The sequence below is a fragment of the Homo sapiens genome, chromosome 4, assembly GCF_000001405.40.
Source record: "Homo sapiens chromosome 4, GRCh38.p14 Primary Assembly".
NCBI classification, from domain to species: domain Eukaryota; kingdom Metazoa; phylum Chordata; class Mammalia; order Primates; family Hominidae; genus Homo; species Homo sapiens.
Genome location: NC_000004.12, coordinates 143,016,071 through 143,037,130, shown reverse-complemented (window position 1 = coordinate 143,037,130; position 21,060 = coordinate 143,016,071). Strand labels below are relative to the sequence as shown.

At 38.8% G+C, this 21,060-nt stretch overlaps 1 long non-coding RNA gene across 1 annotated transcript in view, besides 1 other annotated feature; it reads left to right on the top strand.

Annotated features, from left to right (window-relative positions):
* USP38-DT (USP38 divergent transcript) overlaps positions 1-21,060 on the top strand; it is a 396,420-nt gene that overhangs the window by 147,731 nt on the left and 227,629 nt on the right. The gene's annotated exons all lie outside the window — the stretch shown is intronic.
* Positions 11,608-11,717: an enhancer, noted in NCBI's record as "active region_21940". NCBI's record gives its function as "activates an Ori minimal core promoter by ATAC-STARR-seq in GM12878 lymphoblastoid cells {active_cell/tissue: GM12878}" and the evidence as "EXISTENCE:reporter gene assay evidence [ECO:0000049][PMID:35858748]".

The following is a 21,060-nucleotide window of genomic DNA, read 5'->3' as shown; positions in this document are numbered from 1 at the left end:
AAAAGCCAGTTGAAATACAACTATCTCACTATCTCAGAAGACCCTCATACCATCCTGGTTATAGACTGGGGAGGTTTTTAACATTGAACGTATGGCAATCTTTCTTCTCCTGGGAAAAAAAATGGACCAATGAATTAACATTAGCTTTCCTAAGCTCAGTACCACAACAGTTTAAGAGAACATAGAGGGTTTAAAAGATCTGTATTACAGCCCTGTCTTCTAGAGTTTTGGTTTATAGTTCTTTTAATGATTTTATTAGGGAACAAAAAAATTGCGCTTCAGTGCTTCAATGAAGCCAAGAAGGTACATTTAGATGGGAATATTATTCTGCATTGAAGAAATTTCCAGATTGTACTCACAAAGTTTGAGTATAAAACCCCCCTTTTTGTCCAAATATTTATCCTGGAAAAGGTCCAGACGACTTGCATATTTGAAAGAGAAAGTCTCACTAGCAGATGATTGAGAAGCAGTTTAGGTAATATCTGACCCAAACATCTGACCCGTCCTTAGGTCATGACCCAAGTCATGACCATGGGTACAAAATAGACAAACAAATCTGACTGAGCTCTCTCAGTATTCTGAAACCTCTGTTTCATTGTTTTGAAAAGAAATTGTCAAAGAAGATAACCTTGGTTTTGGCAAGAATCACATGTTGTTTCTGCTAATCTGTGTTTATTCTTTTTTTTCTCTAATGAATACATATCATTTATGTAATAAGGAAATGTATTATTTAAGAATTTTAGGATTGTAGTGAGTCTTAGCTATTATCTAGTTCAAACTCCTTTTCCTCCTTTACAGTAGAGTAGCCTGAGGTCTATTGAGAGCAAGTATCTGTCTCACATGGAATTAGTAGTGCTACTGCTTAGTAGTGCTTTGCTAAAGGTTTTGGCTGACACACTCTCTACAAATTTATTTATTACATAATACATTTTTTGCACCCTTATCTGAGAGCTTCTTCAGATTTTTTTTTAAATAAAGGAGAAATCTGAACAATTCTTATATGAGTTTGAAATCTGTAGGCCATTTAAAGCATTTTCTTTTTTTTTTCTAATTGTATGGGGATTTGACTGTCAGAGATTTACGATGAATATTTTGTATCATTTTCTTCTTGCCATTTAAAAACATTTCTGCTCTAATCTCTAGCCCATGCAAAGACATGTTTTGTGTCTTTTTCATTCTTAGAGGTTGCACTGAAGTGCTATTTCTGTTTTCTTTTGTGAATGAGATCTTCCAATATAAGGACTGTTTCTTTTGAATGGGGATTTATCTCAGTGGTTTACAAACTCTTAAAAACTTTGCAGATTCTGGCTTTTGAAGGTCAAGTATTCTTTGTACAAATAGCATTTCACTGAATGAGATCTTTGTTAACTTTATTTAGTATTTGTTTCAACTTTAATTTCTCTTGACAGCTTTATTATGATATATGACATAGTTATTTTCTTAGAGGGACCTAAATCACAGCATTCACATGCAGTTTTTTTTCCTTCACGAAGATTTTCTAAATTTAAAAAGTTTGTTTCACTATCCATTTTTACATCTTTTATATATGTACTATTCAGGATTTTGTTTGATTGGAAGAGACAAAAATCCTGTCAAGAGTTGCTTAAAATATGTTTTGTTGTTGTTGTTGTTGTTACATACAAGAAATCCAATGTGTATAAGTTAAGTTACTCAAGCATGTCATCAAATGCTATGGCTTTTCCTATATTTTCACTTGACCAGCATTTATTGGTTGCTTTTTCCTCATGGTTACAGAATAATTTCTGAATAAATTCTATCTAAAACTGAGTGAAGTTTTTCGACTTGGGGTTTGTTTCTCCTTTAAGGAAGCAATGAACATTCAGTAAAGTGGGGGATAGATTTCAGAGGGGGTGTTTTGAAAAGGTGTTTGAGAGGGTGTAGAGATTGGTGAGAACTTTCTTCTTTTCTCCATCCATCTTTCAACTTTTTGTTTCAATCCAAGCCTGACCTTTAGTACCCAGCTCCCTATCAGAAACAGGAAGCCAATCTCTGGAATATTGATGTCTACTGAAAAGTTGGAAACAGCAAGGTTGGATCTTAATCAATCATTAAATGGGGACCTTTTCGGTCCAGACTAGGTAATAATGAATAATAAATGTGTCTCACAAAATCCTGTAATATTGATGTTATCTAGAGCCCTCTACCATTTAAAGATCTGGTTCAACATGTCTGGAACCACCAGTTTACAACTTGTGAGAATCTTCTCCTAATTTCTGTGAATTCCTGTGAATTCTTAATCTTACTTCTTGTTTCCTCTCTTTGCTTTTTTGCACTTGAGTTTATACTTCTGCACTTTTTCTTTTAAACCTCAAATTTAAAGATGAAGCCAAATTCTCCACAGTTTTTCAGAAAATTCCAATTCAATGTTTCATGAGCTCAATGTTGATATAGTTTGGATATTTGTCCCCTCCAAATCTTATGCTGAAATTGATCCTCGGTGTTGGAGGTGGGGTCTGGTGGGATGTGTTTGGGTCATGGGGGTGGATCCCTCATGAATGGGTTGGTGCCATCCCAGTGGCAATAAGTGAGTTCTTGCTCTATTAGCTGACTCAAGAGCTGATTCTTTAAAAGAGCATGACACCCCTCCCCTCCTTCTTGCTCCTGCTATCGTCATGTGACATACTGGCTCCTACACCCCTTCCATCATAATTTGAAGCTTCCTGAGGTCCTCATAAGAAGCAAATGCTGGTGTCATGCTTCTTGTACAGCCCTGCAGAACTATGAGCCAAATAAATTTCTTTTCCTTATAAATTACGAAATATCAGCCTCAGATATTTCTTTAGAGCAACACAAAAACAGACTAAGACTATTATCTTCACTATAGGTCTTAGGGACTTTAATATCTATGATTTAGCCTTATGTCATCTGGCCTCATGCTTGATACTGCATGGTCCTCTACAGGTCCTCAATCAAACTGGGAAATTAATTCAGGCTCCTACCTCAGCTGCTCTTGTGGGGGAACAGTCTCACCAGGCAAGCCCTTTCCCCAGATTTCCACACATTTTTGAAAATAAATCATTCTGTAAATTGATAAATCTATTAGCCAGAGATATTTTTGTTGATTTTGACAGAAGCGAAACTCAAAGTAATTAGGGAAAATTGGGAATTTATTAACTCATAACACTGAAATATCTAGATATAACATTGCCTTAGTCAGAGTTTGAGCCAGGAACTCTCATGGCTGTATCAGGAATATATTTGTGGAGACAAATCAGAAAAAAATATATTCTTGATACAGCCATGAGAGTTCCTTTTCCTAGTATTGCTTCACTCACAGACAGGCTATATTTTTGTTTGTTTCATATGGTTTTATTTTAAAATTATATTTCTTGAAATTGTTTATATTTATTGGATCTTTGAAAGCATCAATATATGATAGTTGGGAATCTTACAAGTTTTCTATCACAGATCATTTAGCCCCAGGATCTGCTGTTGACCAACTGTGTGGTCTGGATCAAGTCACTTAACCATATCTGTTAAATGGGAATAGTATTACTGGTCTCAGAGGATTTTTAGAAGATTAAATGAATTGATTTATGTCTTAGTTTTTTTAAAGATTTTAATTTTAATTTTTTTATTGGTACACAGTAGGTATATATATATATATATATATATTTATGGGGTACATGAGATATTTTGATATAGGCATACAATGTGTAATAATCACATCAAGGTAAATCACATCACCTCAAGCATTTATCATTTCTTCATGTTATAAACATCCCAATTATACTCTATTAGTTATTTTAAAATGTAGAATATATTACTGTTGACTGTGGTCACCCTGTTGTGCTATTAAATATTAGACCTTGTTCATTCTATCTAACTATATTGTTTGTACCCATTAACCATCCCCACTTCCCTCCCCATCCACTATCCTTCCCAATCTCTGGTAGCTACCATTCTACTGTCTATCTCCATGAGTTCAATTGTTTTAATTTTTAGCTCTCATGTATAAATGAGAACACGCAAAGTTTGTCGTTCTGTGCCTGGCTTATTTCACTTAACATGAAGACTTTCAGTTCCATCCCTGTTGTTGCAAATAACAAGATCTCATTCTTTTTAATGACTGAATAGTACTCTATTATGTATATGTACCACATTTCTTTATCCATTTGTTTGTTGATGGATACTTAGGTTGCTTGGGGATGCAGATGTCTTTGTTATATTTATTTCCTTTCTTTTGGGTATATACCTAGCAGCAGGATTGCTAGATCATATGGTAGTTCTTATTTTAGATTTTTGAGGAACCTCTATACTGTTCTCCAGTGACCGTACTACTAGTTTACATTCCCACCAACAGTGTGTGAGGGTTTCCTTTTCTCCATATCCTCACTAATATTTGTTATTGCCTGTCTTTTGGATCAAAGCCATTTTAACCAGAGGGAGCTGATATCTCATTGTAATTTTGATTTGCATTTCTCAGATGCTCAATGATGTTGAGCACTTTTTCAAAATATGTGTTGCCATTTGTATGCCTTCTTTTGAGAAATCAAATTTTAAAATCAGACTATTAGATATTTTTTCCTATGGAGTTTTTTGAGCTCCTTATATATTCTGGTAATTAATCCCTTGTCAGATGAACAATTTGCAAATACTTTTTTCCATTCTGTGGGTTGCTGTTGATTGCTTCCTTTGCTTTACAGAAGCTTTTTAACTTGATGTGATCCCATTTGTCCATTTTTGCTTTGATTGCCTGTGCTTATGGGGTATAACTCAAGAAATCTTTGCCTTGACCAATGTCCTGGAGAGTTTCCCTAATATTTCTTTTAGTAGTTTCATAGTTTAAAGTCTTAGATTTAAGTCTTTAATGTATTTTGATTTTATTTTTGTGTATGGTGAGAAATAAGGGTCTAGTTTCATTCTTCTGTGTATGGCTATCCAGTTTTCCCAGCAGCATTTATTGAAGAGACCATCATTTCCCTAAGGTTCTTGGCATCTTTGTTAAAAATAAGTTCACTGTAGCCATATGGATTTATTTCTGGTTTCTCTATTCTGTTCCATTGGTCTGTGTGCCTGTTTTTATGCAAGTATCATGTGGTTTTGATTATGTTCTGTAGCATAATTTGAAGTCAGGGAATGTGATTCCTCCAATTTTGTTCTTTTTGGTGAGAATGGCTTTGGCTATACTGGGTCTTTCGTGGTTCCATACAAATTTTAAGATTATTTTTTCTATGTCTGTGAAGAATGCCGTTAGTATTTTGATAGGAATTGCATCAAATATGTTTATTGTTTTGGGTAGTATGGACATTTGAACAATATTTTCCAACTGATAAATATGGGATATGTTTCCATTTTTTGTGTCCTCTTCAATTTCTTTCATCAGTGTTTTATAGTTTTCATTATACAAATTTTTCACTTCTTTGATTAAGTTTATTCCTAGGTATTTTATCTTATTTTTAGCTATTGTGAATTAAATTACTTTCTTCATTTCATATTCAGATGATTCACTGTTGGCACATAAAAATGCTTCTGATTTTTGTGTGTTGATTTTGTATCCTTCAACTTTACTGAATTTGTTTAACAGTTCTAACAGTTTTTCTTTTTTTTTTGGTGGAGTCTTTAGGATTTTCCAAATCTGAGATCATCTCATCTGCAAACAAAGATAATTTGATGTCTTCCTTTCCAATCTGGGTGCTCTTTATTTCTTTCTCTTGTCTGATTGCCCTAGCCAGGACTTCCAGTACTATGTTCAATGTTAGTGGTGAAAGTGGGCATCCTTCTCTTGTTCCAAATGTTAGAGGATAGGCTTTCAGTTTTTCTTCATTCAGTATGATACTAGCTGTAGGCATATTGTATATGGCTTTTATTATGTTGAGGTATGTTCCTTCTGTACCCACTTTTTGAGGGATTTTTATTATGAAGGAATGTTAAATTTTATCAAATGCCCTTTCAACGTTAATCGAAATGATCATGTGGTTTTTGTTCTTCATTCTGTTGATATGACATATCACACTAATTGATTTGTGTATGTTGAACCATCCTTGCATCCCTGGGATAAATCCCACTTGGCCATGATGGATGATCTTTTTAATGAGTTCTTGAATTCAGTTTGCTAGAATTTTGTTGAGGATTTTTACATAAATGCTCATCAGGGACATTGGCCTGTAGTTTCTTTTTCTGATGTGTCAGTATCATGTTTTGGTGTCAGGGTAATACTGGCCTCATAGAATGAGTTTTGAAGTATTCCCTTTTCCTCTATTTTTTGAAATAATTTGAGTAGGAGTGGTATTAGTTCTTATTTAAATGTTTATTAAAATTCAGCAGTGAAGCTATTGGGTTCTGGGCTTTTCTTTGTTGGCAGACTTTTCATTATGACTTTGATTTCATTACTTGTTATTGGTCTATTCAGGTTTTAAACTTCCTCATGATTCAATCTTTGTAGGTGGTATGCGTCTAGGGATTTATCTATTTCTTCTAGGTTTTCCAGTTCTCAAGGGGAATGATTCCAGCTTTTGTTCATTCAGTATGACGTTGGCTGTGGGTTTGTTATAGCTGGCTCAATATTCAAGTATAAGAAGGTTATATATCACTAAGCAGAATCATCCCAAGTAAGACTACCTCAAGACATTTAATAAGCAAACTCCCAAAGATCAAGGATAAAGAAAGGATACTAAGAGCAATAGGAGAAAAGAAACAAATAACATATAAAGGAGCTCTAATATATCTGGCAGCAGACTTCTCAGTGGAAATCTTACAAGCCAAGACAGAGTGACATGACATATTTAAAGTGCTGAATAAAAAAAGAAGTTTTATCCTAGAACAATATATCCAGTAAAATTATTCTTCAAACATGAATGAGAAGTTGGATTTTTATCAAAGGCTTTTTATGTATCTATTGAGATGATCATAGGGTTTTTGTTTTTAATTATTTTAATGTGGTGAGTCATATTGGTTTATGTGGAACCAACTTTGCCTCCCAGAATTAAAGCCTACTTGATTGTGGTGGATTGACTTTTTGATGTTTTGCTGGATTCAGTTCCTTAGCACTTTGTTGAGGATTTTTCTGTTCATGTTGAGGAATTTAGCCGTTTCCTCTAGATTTTCTAAAATGTTTGTATAGAGGAGGTCATAATAGTCTCTGGGGGATCTTTTAATTTCTGTGAGATCAGTTGTAATATAATCTTAGTTGTTTCTGATTGTGCTTATTTGGATCTTCTTTTTGTTTGTTAATCTAGCTAATCAGCTATCAATGTTGCTTATTCTTTTGAAAAACCAACTCTTAGTTTCATCAATCTTTTGTATGGATTTTTGGGTCTCAATTTCATTCAGTTCATCTCTGATTTCAGCTATTTCTTTTCCTCTACTAGCTTTGGGGTTGAATTGTTCATTTTTTTCTAGTTCCCCTACTTGTGATGTTAGGTCATCATCATATCTTGATGTGAAGGCAGTTTAGTACTATAAATTTTCCTCTTAGCACTGCTTTAGCTGCCTCCCAAAGGTTTTGGCAAGTTGTATCTCTATTTTCATTAATTATGTATATATATATTTTTATTCTACCTTAATTTTGTTGTTCATGCAAGAGTTATTCAGGAGCAAGTTGTTTAAGTTCCATGTTTTTGTGTAGTTTTGAGAGATCTTCTTGGTATTGATTTCCATTTTTACTGCACTATGATCTGAGTATATCCTTGTTATGATTTTGCATTTTTTGAATTTTTTGAGACTTGCTTTATGGCCGAGCAGGTGACTGATTTTACAATATATTCTATTTGCAGATGAGAAGAGTATATGTTCTGTGGTTTTTGGATGGAGTGGAATATATATTCTGTGATTTCTGGATCTGCAGATGTCTATTATGCCCAACTGGTCAGTTGTTGAGTTTAAGTCCAGAATTTCTTCATTAGCTTTCTGCCCCAATAATCTGTCTAATGGTGTCAATGGAATGTTAAAGTCTCCCACAATTATTGTGTGGCTGTTTAAGTGTTTTCATAGGTTGAGAAAAACTTCTTGTCTTATGTTGGGTGCGTATATATTTAGGATAGTTAAGTCTTTAAAAAAATTAAACCCTTTATCAATATGTAATGCCATTCTTTGTCCTTTGCAATTGTTGTTGGCTTAAAATTTGTTTTATCTGATATAGGAATAGCACCTCTTGCTCTTTGTTGTTTTGTGTTTGCTTGGTAGATCTTTCTCCATTCCTTTACTTTGATCCTGTGAGTATCATTACATGTGACATCCATCTCTTGAAGACAGAAGACAATTGAGTCTTGTCTTTTTATCCAGCCTGCCACTCTGTGCCTTTTAAGTGGGGGTATTTAGACCATTTACACTCAGGGTTAGTATTGATATAGGAGATCTCTATCCTGTCATTGTGTTGTTGCTGTTTGTTTTGTAGACTTGATTGTATAATTGCTTTGTATATTTCATGGGCTATGTGCTTGAGTGTATTTTTGAGGTAGCAGGTGTCAGTTCTTTGTTTCTATGTCTTCTTTTTAATTTTTATTTATTTTATTAAATTTTTTTTTATTTCCATAGGTTTTTGGGGAACAGGTGGTATTCGGTTACATGAATAAGTTCTTTAGTGGTGATTTATGAGATTTTGGTGCACTCATCCCCTGAGCAGTATATACTGAACCTAATTTGTGGTCTTGTATTCCTCCCCACTTTCCCACCCTTTTCCCCTGAATCCTTGTATTTGTCCATTTTCATGCTGCTGATAAAGACATACCCAAGACTGGGCAATTTACAAAAGAAAGAAGTTTATTGGACTTACAGTTCCACATGGCTCAGGAGACCTCACAATCATGGTGGAAGGCAAGGAGGAACAAGTCACATCTTATGGGTATGGCAGCAGGCAAAAAGAGAGCTTGTGCAGAGAAACTCCCATTTTTAAAACCATTAGATCTCATGAGACCCATTCACTATCATGAGAACATCATGGAAAAGACCTGCTGCCATGATTCAATCATCTCCCACTGGTCCCTCCCACAACATGTGGGAATTATAGGAGCTACAAGATGAGATTTGGGTGGGGACACAGAGCCAAACCATATCAGTCCCCAAAGTCCATTGTGTCATTCTTAGGCCTTTACATCCTCATAGCCTAGCTCCCACTTATGAGTGAGAACATACGATGTTTGGTTTTCTCTTCATGAGTTACTTCACTTAGAATAATAGTCTCCAATCCCATCCAGGTTGCTGTGAATGCCATTAATTTTTTCCTTTTTATGGCTGAGTAATATTCCATTGTGTATATAATCACGAGGTCAGGAGATTGAGACCATCCTGGCCAACATGGTAAAACCCCATCTCTACTAAAAATAAAAAAAAATTTAGCTGGTCATGGTGGCATGTGCCTGTAACTCCAGCTACTTGGGAGGCTGAGGCAGGAGAATCGCTTGAACCAAGAAGTCGGAAGTTGCAGTGAGCCGAGATCGCACCACGGCACTCCAGTCGGGTGACAGAGCGAGACACCATCTAAAAAAAAAAAAAAAAAAAGAAAAGAATGCCAATGAGTCATAGATTTGGTCTCTTTACATAATCTCATTTCTTGGACATTTTGTTTATTTTTAAAATTCTTTTTTTCATTACTTTTGTCTGAGTTAATTTGAATTTGAAGAACTGGTCTTCAAGCTCTGAGATTCTTTTTTCAGCTTGAACTATTCTGCTGTTGACACTTCTGATTGTACTGTGAAATTCTTGAAGTGATTTTCTTTTCAGTTCCAGAAGTTCATAGTTTGATTCTTTGTTAAAATGACTATTTCATCGTCCAGCTTCTAGGTTGTTTTACTAAGCTCCTTGGATTGGGTTTCAACTTTCTTCTTTATCCCAGTGAGCTTCTATGCCATTCCGTTTTGAAATCTATGTCTGTCATTTCAGTCATCTCAATCTTGCCAAGAATCATTTCTGGGGGACTAGTGTGTTTGTTTGATGGTAAAGGGGCACACCAGCTTTTTGAGTTGCTGGAGTTCTTGTGTTGATACTTTCTCATGTGTGAGGGCTGGTCTTCCTTTAACTGTGAAGTAAATTGAGTATAGTCAGTAGGCTTAATTTCTGGGTGTTTCCAGAGTGCTAGAACTTTGTATAGACTCTTTATTTGTGGCTGGATCTTTGCTTTGGTGCTTAAGAGTGTTGGCTGACAGATAGGCTCTTACTCAGCTGCATGGCTGTTTTGTTTTGGCTCAGTTGGCAGCAATGCTCTGTGGTGTGGGAGGAGCAAGATGACACCTTCAGCTGATCCACTCTTGGGCCTTGGAGGAGCCCTTTCCAATCACTGACTCCATCCCCACATTTCTTTTGTTAGGTGTTCTGGAAGCCGGGGCTCCCTTAGGCAGGGCCTGCAGTTGGCAGACAGACTGTACCCTTCCTGGGCCAGCCATGTGGAGGGAGACACACCCTGCTTTTCTGCTGGCCTGCAAACCTAGGAATCTCCCCCCTCTTTGTGGTCTAAGAGTGAGAGCTCAGCACTGCTTGGACACTGCCCAAGCTAGCAAGTCTCACCTAGGAGCAGTGTTAATGTGTGAAGTCACCTGACCTACCACTTGTGGGCTCTAGCATGCATGGCCTGCTTGGCTATAAGTGGTGGGTGTGGGTGAAGTCACCCACCTTGCCATCTGGATGTTTGCTGGGGGAATAGGGGACTAAGCCTACTGGCAGGGTTCAGGCAGAAGTGGGACTACTGGGCTGGAAGCTCTAGCAGGTAACTTGCCTGGCTACACATGGTAGAGGTGGGTTGAGTTGCCTGCCTTGCAGTCTGGATGTTTACTGAGGGAACATAGGGCTGTGCCTGGCCACAAAGTTCAGGCAGAAGCAGGATTGCTTTCTGGAAGCTCTAGCAGGCATGGCTTACCTGGTTTTGAGCATCCAGGGTGGGTGGAGTTGCCTGATCTGGCATCCAGATATTTCCCAGGGGAACAGAAGGCTGAACCTTCTTACAGAATTCAGGAAGAAGCAGGGCTTCTGTGTGGAAACTGGCTTTGAGCCTTGCCTGGTGAGGGATGTGAAGCAATCTTACTGCACCTGGGCACAATGATTGCAGCCTCTGTTGGAGCTATCTCATTGGTGCTGGTTTGTTCCAGGGTCCAGGGCTTGTAGAGGTCCCTGTGGGCTTGAGTGTTGCCTTTGCAAAAATTCCGGGTGGCTCTTTGCTTCAGTTTAGAGGACCAGGGTCGGGGGTTGGAGGGATTCTCCTGTTCCCAGACTTGCACAGGTTCCTGTGGGAAGTGTGAATTTTCCAGACGCTCTTCCCCATGTTAAGAAGCTTCTCTTGGTTCTGTGCTGATCCCAGATGGGCTGCTGGCCAGCTTTGCTCCTCTCTGCTCTGTCTGTCCCCTCACTGTGTTGCTGGATCCTAATGTGGTTTCTTAGACAACCGATTTGCAAGGTCAATGTTCACTAGCCACTCTGTCCACTCCCTATGAGACAGGCACACATGAGCTGTTTCTAGTCAGCCATGTTGACCCATCTCCCTTGTGGAATGGACTTGATGCTTGTGAATATTTGTTGATTTCTGGGCATTGGATAGTTAAGTATTTATTGTAGTCTTTGCAGTCTTGGCTTGTTTGTACCCATCCTTCTTGGGGAGATTTTCCAAGTATTCAAAAGGAATTGTGCTGTGATCTATGTCTTTGATCACTGCAGCCATATCTACATTAGGGGGCACTCCAAGCCCAGTAATGCTGTGACTCTTGCAGACTAGTAGAGGTACTGCCTTGAGGTTTTGGGTAAGATCTCAAAGAATTCTTTGAATTATTAGGCTGGTGCAAAAATAATTGCAGATTTTGCCATTACTTTCAATGGCACAATTATTACTTTTGTACCAATCTTACCTTTCTCCAAACAAACAGAGTCTCTCTCTCTCTTCGTGCCCTGCTGCCTGCAGCTGGGGGAGGGATGACTCAGCACCCCTGTGGCCACCACCACTGGGTCTCTGCTAAGTCAGACCTGAAGCCAGCACAGTACTGGGCCTTGCTGAAGGCTTATCGTGACTATTGCCTGGCTACTGCTGATATTTATTCAAGGCCCAAGAGTTCTTTAGTTAGAAAGTGGTGAATCAAGCCAGGCTTGTCTCCTTCGCTTTAGAGTAATAAGTTTCCTTCTGGCCCAGGGTGGGTCTAGAAGTGCTGTCCAGGAGCTAGGGCCTGAAGTTGTGAACATTAGGACTCTACTTGGTGTTACTGTGACTAAGATGATACCCAAGTTGCAAGACTAAGTTCTTTTTACTCTTCCTTCTCCTTTCCTTAAGCGGGAGTCTCTCCCTGTGGCCACCACAGCTGGCAAAGTGCTGGGTCACACCTGAAGTGAGTACTGCACTGGGTCTTACCCAAGGCCCCTGGTGAGTACTGCCTGGGTATGTACTGCTGATGTTTATTCAAGGCCCACGGGCTCTTTAGTTAGCAGGTGATGAATCTTGCCAAGTATGGGTCCCTCCCTTCAAGGTATTGGATTATCTTCTTTCCTGGGGTATGTCTAGAATTGTCATCTGAGAGCTAGGGTCTGAAATGGGGTCTTCAGGACTCTGCTTGGTGCTTTATTTTACTGTGGCTGAAATGATATTCAAATTGCAAGACAAGGTCCTCTTTACTCTTCCCTCTCCTTTCCTCAAGTGGAAAGAGTCTCTCCTGGAGCTATGAGCAATGCTGCCTGGGATTGGGGTGGAGGTGACACAAGCACTCCTTTGGCCATCCCAGCAGGTGTCTCACAAGTCATTGCACCCTGAGTCCACTGGTTCTGAGCCCACACAGCACCAGGACTTGCCCAGAAATTGCAGTCCTTGTGGCCTAGACTGCCTTTCAGTTTTATTTAGGACCTCAGAGCAGTGGTAGTCATGGGGCTAGCCAGAGCTCAGGTTCCAACTGCTGGGATGGATGATTCCTCTCTGAGTAGGGCTGGTATAAATGCTGTCTTCATGGACACTGTGTTGCTTTCCACAGTGACAGGGCAGCACTGAGTTCCAATGCAAAGTCCCACAATCACTACACTCTTCCTTTTCCAATTGCACAGACTCTCTCTCTTCGTGCCATGCAGCACTGCTGGGAGATAGGAGCAGGGTGGTGTTGTCAATTCGAGACTGGGTTTTCTATCCTTTTCAGTGCCTCCTTCTTTAATATGATGTTAAAACTAGGTACTGTGATCATTTACCTGATTTTTAGTCCTCAGTAAGGTGCCTTCCAGTAAGCTGCTCAATTTGGTATTCCTGTGGGGGAGATCAGTGGAGGGTTCTATTTGGCAATCTTGCTCCACCTCCTCCTCAGATGTTTTTAACTGCTATTTTATTATTTATTTGTGTTAAAATATATAACACAAAATTTACCATATTAACTATTTTTAATTGTACAATTCTGTGGCAGTAAGTATATTCACCATGTTGTGTAACCATCACCATTATTCATTTCCAGAATGTTTCATCATCCCAAACAGAAACTCTATACTCATTAAACAATAACCTTCCCTTCATCCCCCCAGCCCTTGGTAGCCTCTATTTTACTTCCTTTCTGTGTGCAGGCTCTGTTTTTGTAGTGCATCTCCTACAGTGCCAGGCTGACATCCTTTAAGTTCAGTGACTTCAGAAAGTTTTTTCTCTGTGAATATTCAATAATATTCACAAAAGTCTCAGATTCAATTCTCAACTGGACAAAGTTGAGTCATATGTCCATCCTTGAACCAATCATGACTGTGTGGATTGGCCAGATCTGTGACATGCACATTCCTGGATATTGGAAGGGTGGAGCCATTCCTGCTTTTCCACCCAAACCATAGGGACTGAAGATTGTGGACTGTGGTGCACAGAGTAGAGTCAAGAAGCAATTAGCAAGATTGGAGGTGAGCTGGAGTACAGGATGCAGAGCAGTGGTTGCTGGGCAGACAGATTCCAAGGCAAGGTCTGGCCTGAACACACATGTCTACATGAATCAAGCAGCCTTCACTAATGACCTTCTGAAAGGAAATAGGATGACTTTTATTTCGCTAAGAGGAAATTGATCTACTAAAAGTAATAATGTTTTCCACATACAAGTCAAAGAACAACTTTTGTTTTGATTCAAAACTTTCATTGTGGTAGGGAGAGGGTGCTATTTAAAAGTTCACTGTATAAAAATATTAGAGGAAATGAAAAAATACTTTATTAAATGAATTCTGACTTCTATTTTGTGGTAGAGAAAGGGAGGAATTAGGACATACAGCAGAAGAGAGAGAAACATGTAAAAGGAAAACTGGCAGAGATGGAAATTCTTCCGTTAAGAAGAAAGGGAATGCAGATTAGTAGGTATAAACTATTTTTATTACACTTCAGATTTTACTTGAACTTCTGGGTTAGGCATTTCCATTTTTTCTCTTGAAATTCTTTGATTAGGATCAGTAAATATGAGACATTTAAGTTGCAATTTCCCCCTTTCTGAACACATGGCCGACATTGCTAATACATCTATTCTTCCAAGTCTGTACGTAGCCTTAAAATGTCCTTAACAGGCTGCTCAAGGCAGACTCCACCAGTTAATCGAGTTGACATGCAAAATTAAACCTATTTGTTACCCTGATATTAGATGTACATTCTGACAGACATATAGGATCATGTCTTGGAATATATTGGCAGCACCTAGTGCAGTATTATGACCTTGAGGACTGAATAAAGTGGATTTAGATTTGGTCCAGCCCATACACTGGGGATTCCTCTTATGAGATATAAGACTGTAAAACATATCCTGAGCTGACTTGGAGCAGTTAGATTATTTCATTCCTAATTATGTTAGGAAGTTAATGGGACAGCCAGCATGTCTTACATTTACCCGGTCAACTGAATAGAATTCAACTGTTTAATTCTGGGAACTGCACAGTGGTTACTGGAATCTCCTGATTCTGAACTAAATGAACACTAAATTTGGATTAATTTGAAATCAGTAGAAAGAGGATGTTAGCGAAATTTTGTGTTATTTTTGTAAATATATTGATTAAATTTGTAGAAGACGTTTTCATTTGGAATTGCAAAAGCAGCCACAAAAGTAGGGGGCTGAATGTTTGTAAGTTAAAAATTATTTAGTTGGAGAACAGAAAAAAGTGATGTCCAAAGGGAGGACATAATTACTTAAATGGTAAAAAGAATAAAACTTGAAAAATTGCTAGAGGTACATAATGAGTCTGCGTTTTATCATCTTTCTACCCTTACTTAAATGGTAATTTGCACCTTGAGTCATTAATACTCCATTTCCTCCAAATTATACTTATTAGATGATGTATCAAAGGTATTAATTTTATTCTATTACATAAAAAGTTCATTTACTTTAGGAAAATTAATATAAAAGATAGAGCATTCCAGTATTCCATTAAAAGTATATGATAAGCAACAGATGGTGTTAAAAACTTCAGACAAGTTTTCCTGGATATCTACAAAAATATGTAAAAAATTAAAACAAATGCTCACTGTTTCTTTATCAGTTTAATTTGGAAATTGTCAATTACAATTATCCAGTAGCTTTCAGGAGTATAGCCTCTGTCATGTTCAGTGGTGGAAATACCAAAAATATGAACTAACACAAAATAAGCTAAATGTTTATACCAGTGGTCAAAGAAGAGGCTTACACTAATAATGAAACTGGAAGGAGTGATCATTTTTTTGCAGCTTCCTTTTTATGAAAGCATGTGTTTGACTGAAGTGTATGTGTGTAACTTAGAAATTAAAGATGGCTTATAATAATAGAAAATTAGACCTTATATTTTTCATATATTTTCTTTTAAATTTTAGAGACATGATCTTGCTCTGTCTCCCAGGCTGGAGTGCCATGGCATGATTATAGCTCACTGTAAACTTGAACTCCTTAGCTCAAGCAGTTCTCTTGCCGCAGCCTCCCCAGTAGCTAGGACAACAAGCTGATGACACCCAGCTAATTTTTTAATATTTTTGTGGAGACGGAAGTTTCACTATTTTGCCTAGCTTGGCCTCAAATGATCCTCCCACGTCAACCTCCCAAAACACTGGGATTAAGGAGTGAACCACCATGTCTGGCCTGGTATGTATGTTCTTGATTCCTTTTTCCTGTAGCTTGGTTCTCTGAGACTCAGAGTATTGTTTGTTTAGTGTTCATAGAAAGCTTCTACAGCCAGCGTCTGGAGAACTAAACCCGTTCCAATACTGTGCCTTTAGATCGAGCTGATCCATCCACACATCATGTGTCCAATGCACAATAATTGTCCTGGAACTTTGCTTCTTTACTGCATCCTGCTATGTTCTGTGCTTACCTGACCCCTGAACTCTTGGCTTCACATCCTGTTTCTTTTCTTGTGCTTGATCTTGGACATGATGCATTATTTAGTTTCTTTCTGAGACTCTCAGCACAGCACTCTGTTTGTTTTATTTAAATTAGCCTCAGAGTCTCTTAATTTCCAATTGTCCCTAATAATCTTAGCCCAGAAGATCCAGCTGAGCTACCAACAGATGCTACTGCCAGATATATAACTAGTATTGTCCTGTGCATAACTCCCTGCCCCCTCAGGCCAGAGCTGAAGCTGCACACCCCTCCTAGGGAAATAGTACTTTGGCAGAACCTCTCCATCTACCTCTCTTAGTCATGGCTGCACCTCACCCCTAGGGGCCTGAGCTGAAGCTGTGCACCACCCCCTAGAAAAATGGTGAATTGGTAGAACTCCATCTGCTCCTCCCAGTCACTGGTGCACTGTGCTCCTAAGGGCTCTGAGCTGAAGCTATGGACTTCCTCCTGAGAAAACAGTGCCTTGGCAAAGCCATTCCATAGACTTCTCCCATCACTGCTGTGCCTTACCCCCTTGAGAGAGTTGAAGCTGTATACTACCACTGAAGGAAATGGTGTCTTGGCAGAGCTGCTCCAGCTACTCCTCGCAGTCACTGTTGCTGTGCCCTGTATTGGGGGAATGGCGCTGAACCAGTACACTACCTCCTCAGAGAAACAGTGGCTTGGTGGAATGGTTCCATATGCCCTTCTGAGTCACTGTTGTACCCCACCCCTAGAACCCTATGCTAAAGCTGCACACTGCCTCCAAAGGAAATGGTACCTCAGCAGAGCTCCTCAACATATCTCTCCAGGTTGCTAAAGCACCCTGAACCCTGTGTCAAAGTTGAAGCAATGCCAGGCATCCCAAGGAAATGGTGCCTTAGCCACCCAGAGCAGTCACACCCCTCTGTGCCTGAGCTGAAGTAGTACCCTGTCCTCTGGGAAAACAGTACCTTGACCTACCAGAGCAGCTATGCTGCCCTTCCAGAAGATGGTGCCTTGGCTTCCTAGAGCAGTCACACATCACAATAACTAAGCTGAAGCAAGACACTGGATCTTAGGGAAATGGTGCCTGGGCCAGAATAGTCACACACCCTGCGCCTGAGTTGAAGAAGCATATTGCCTCCCAGGGAAGTGGTGCCTTGGCCACGCTGAGTAGCTACACATCCCAGGGTTAAGTTGACATAATTCCCGCATCCTAGGGAAATAGAGCAGTGACTGAGCTGAGACGCCTTGCTCTACAGGCAAAACAACTCTAGTATCCCGCTTACTTGAAGCTGAACTAGCTCTCTAAAGCCTGAACTTCTGACATGCTCCTCTCCCTGGGGAGTGGAGTCATTAGTGTGCTGCTCCCTGCCCACCAGAGCCCAAATGACAGCTGTGCTCCACCATGCCGCCACTGCACCTGGTCTCAGTGAGTTTATGATATAGCCACACCTCACCATCCCAGAGTCTAGTGTCACCACTCTACAGTGCCTTGTCCTCTGGGACCTGAGTTGCTACTGAGCCCTATTGGCTCAGATTCTCAAATTACAACCATAACTCCCTGGACTCAAAACTTCAGAGCACTCCTTTTTCTCTGGAGTCAGACAAGGGTTGTTTACTCCCTGAGAGTAAAATCAGAGTTACATCCCAGTCCCTGGATCCAAACTTCTATGGGTGCCTCAGAGTAACAGACCCTGGCTCTGTGGGCAACCAGTATCTGACCCTGCCATAGAGAACAAACCTGCAACTCAATATGCAGGTGCCACAATAGGTTCATGAGACCTTGAGCCTAGGACCTGGGCCCCACAGCTGCTCCAAGTACCTGCACATGGAACCCAGCACAGCTGCAGCCGCTTGTAGGCCACGTTAGACCTGATACAGGGATCCCTTCAGCTAAGTCTCTTCATTTTGGGTAAAATGAGAATAGGAGGACCCCAAAGCCTTTGTCACTGAAGACCTTAACAACCTATTATGCTGCTGCCACTGCCACAAACTTTTACAACCTATGCCATGGAGACACCCTCAGTTGTTATTACTGAACACAACTGAAGAAGCAGCACAAAAACTATACCACTGTGTCTACCAGAAATGGAGTCACTATACCCTTTCCAACTGGTACACTAAGATATAATGGTAGGTGGAAGTCTTTCTATGAAAGCCACTCTAGAAAACTTAAAAGAGGAAGTTGTTCCACCAGATGCATAGACATTAGTGCAGGGATAAAAGAAACATGAAAAAGCAAAAGAATATAATGCAACCAGGGGAGCAGAATAAATCTCTAATAATAAACCCCAATGAAAAGGAAATCTACAAATTGTCAGAAAAGGAGTTTAAAATAATAATCTTAAGGAAATTCAATGACATACAAGAAAATGCAGATACATAATTTAATACAAACAAAAAAACATACAATATGAATAAGAAATATTTTTAGTCCTCTAATGTCCAAGTCCTATGAAAAAGAAACTTAACAAACAGATAGATATCACAAAAAGTAACCAAACAAAAATTATATGGTTGAAGAATTCAATTAATAAAATTAAAATATACAATAGAGAGCTTCAACAGCAGACTTTATTAAGCAGAAGGAAGAATCTTTGAACTTAAAGATAAGTCATTTGAAGTTGCCTCATCAGAGGAAAAAAAATAAGAATAAAAAAGATTAAAGAAAGCCTTCATATTATGGGAGTCCCAGAAAGGGAAAGGATGGGAAAAAAACATAGAAAATCAATTTAATTAAACAATAGTTGAAAACCTCACAAGTCTTTGGAGAGATATTGTACAAATTCAAGAACCTCAAAGATTCCTAAATAGATCCAACCCACAAATGTCTCATCTGAAGCACATTACAGTCAAATCTTCAAAAGTCAAAGACAAAGAATTCTAAAACAGCAAAAGAAAACCATCAAGTCCCATATAAAAGAACTCCCTGTAGATTAACTGCATATTTTTCAGCAGAAACCTTATAGGCCAGGAGAGAATGGGATGATATATTTAAAGTGCTGATAGAAAAACAATTATCAGTTAAGGATACTTTATCCAACAAAGCTATCTTTCAGAACTGAGGGAGAAATAAAGTCTTTCCCAGAGAAGCAAAAACTAAGAATTGATCACTATTGGATTAGCGTCACAAGAAACAGTCAAGGGAGCCCTGTATATAGAAGTTAAATATAATAATTATCATTATAAAAAACACAAAAGTGTAAAACTCACTGGCAAAGCATACACACAAGTGAGAGAGAAAAGAATCAAACTTCATTACTACAGAGAATGACAAACCTACAATAATAATCAATAAGAGAAGAAAGAAATGCATGGCATACCAATAAATAATAAATAAGCCACCAGAAAACAATGAACAAAACGACAGGATTAAGTCCTCAGCTGTCAAGAATAGTCTTGAATAGAAATGGACTGAATTTCTTACTTAAAAGATATAGACTGGCTGAATAGATAACCAAACATGACCCAACTATTTGCTGCCTGTAAGAAACTCACTTCATTTGTAGAGATACACGTAGACTGAAAGTGAAAGGATGGAAAAGGTATTCCATGCAAATGGAAACCAAAAGTGAGGAGTAATTATACTTGTTTTAGATAAACAGAGCTTAACTCAAGTGTAGTAAAGAGAGAGAAAGAAGGTCGCTATGTAGGATAAAAGGATCAATTCAGCAAGAGAATATAATACATATAATATATATGCATCCAACACTAAAGCAGCCAGACATATAAAGCAAATATTACTAGATCTAAAGGGAGAGGTAAACTCTAATAAAATCGTAGTTGGAGACTTTAATACCTGACTTTCACAACTAAAAAGATAATCTAGACAGAAATTCAACAAAGAATCATTGGAGTTAAACTGTACTTTAGAACAAATATAAGTAATAGACATTTACAGGACTTTTCATCCCAAAGCTACAGAATACATTTTTTTTTTTTTTTTTTTTTTTGAAACAGGGTCTCACTCTGTCACCCAGGCTAGAGTGCAGTGGAGCAATCACAGCTAACTGCAGCCTTGAACTCCTGGGCTCAAGCAATCCTCCTATCTCAGCCTCTTGAGTAGCTGAGACTACAGGAACATGCCACCATGCCTGAGAAGTTTTTTGGTTTTTTTTTGAGATGGAGGCTCACTCTGTCGTGAAGGCTGGAGTATAGTGGTGCGATCTCTGCTCACTGCAACCTCTGCCTCCCGGGTTCAAGCAATTCTCTGACTCAGCCTCCCGAGTAGCTGGGATCATAGACACCTGCAACCATGCCTGGCTAATTTTTGTATTTTTAGTAGAGATAGAATTTCACCATCTTGGCCAGGCTGGTCTCGAACTCCTGACCTCATGATCCACCCTCCTCAGCCTCCCAAAGTGCTGGGATTACAGGTGTGAGCCACTGCGCCCAGCCTTGCCTGAGTAATATTTTGTATTTTTCGTAGAGACAGGGCTTTATCATGTTGCCAGGCTTGTCTGAAATTCCTGGGCTCAAGCAATCTTCCCACCTCAGCCTCCCAAAGTGCTGAGATTACAGGCATGAGCCCACGTGCTTGGCTACACATTCTGTCCATCAACACATACAACATTCTCGAGGATAAGCTACATGTTAGGCCATAAAACAAGTCTCAACAAATTTAAAAGAACTGACATCATATCAAGTATCCTTTTTGACCACAATGGCATAACATTATCTATTAATAACGAGAAACTTTTGAAACTATATAAACACATGGGAAATGGAACAACATGTTCCCAAATGACCATTGGAACAATAAATAAATTAAGAAGAAAATTTTTGGAACAAATGAAAATAGAAACACAACATACTGAAACCTATAGGATGCAATAAAACCAGTAGTAAGAGGGAAGTTTATAGGAATAAACACTGA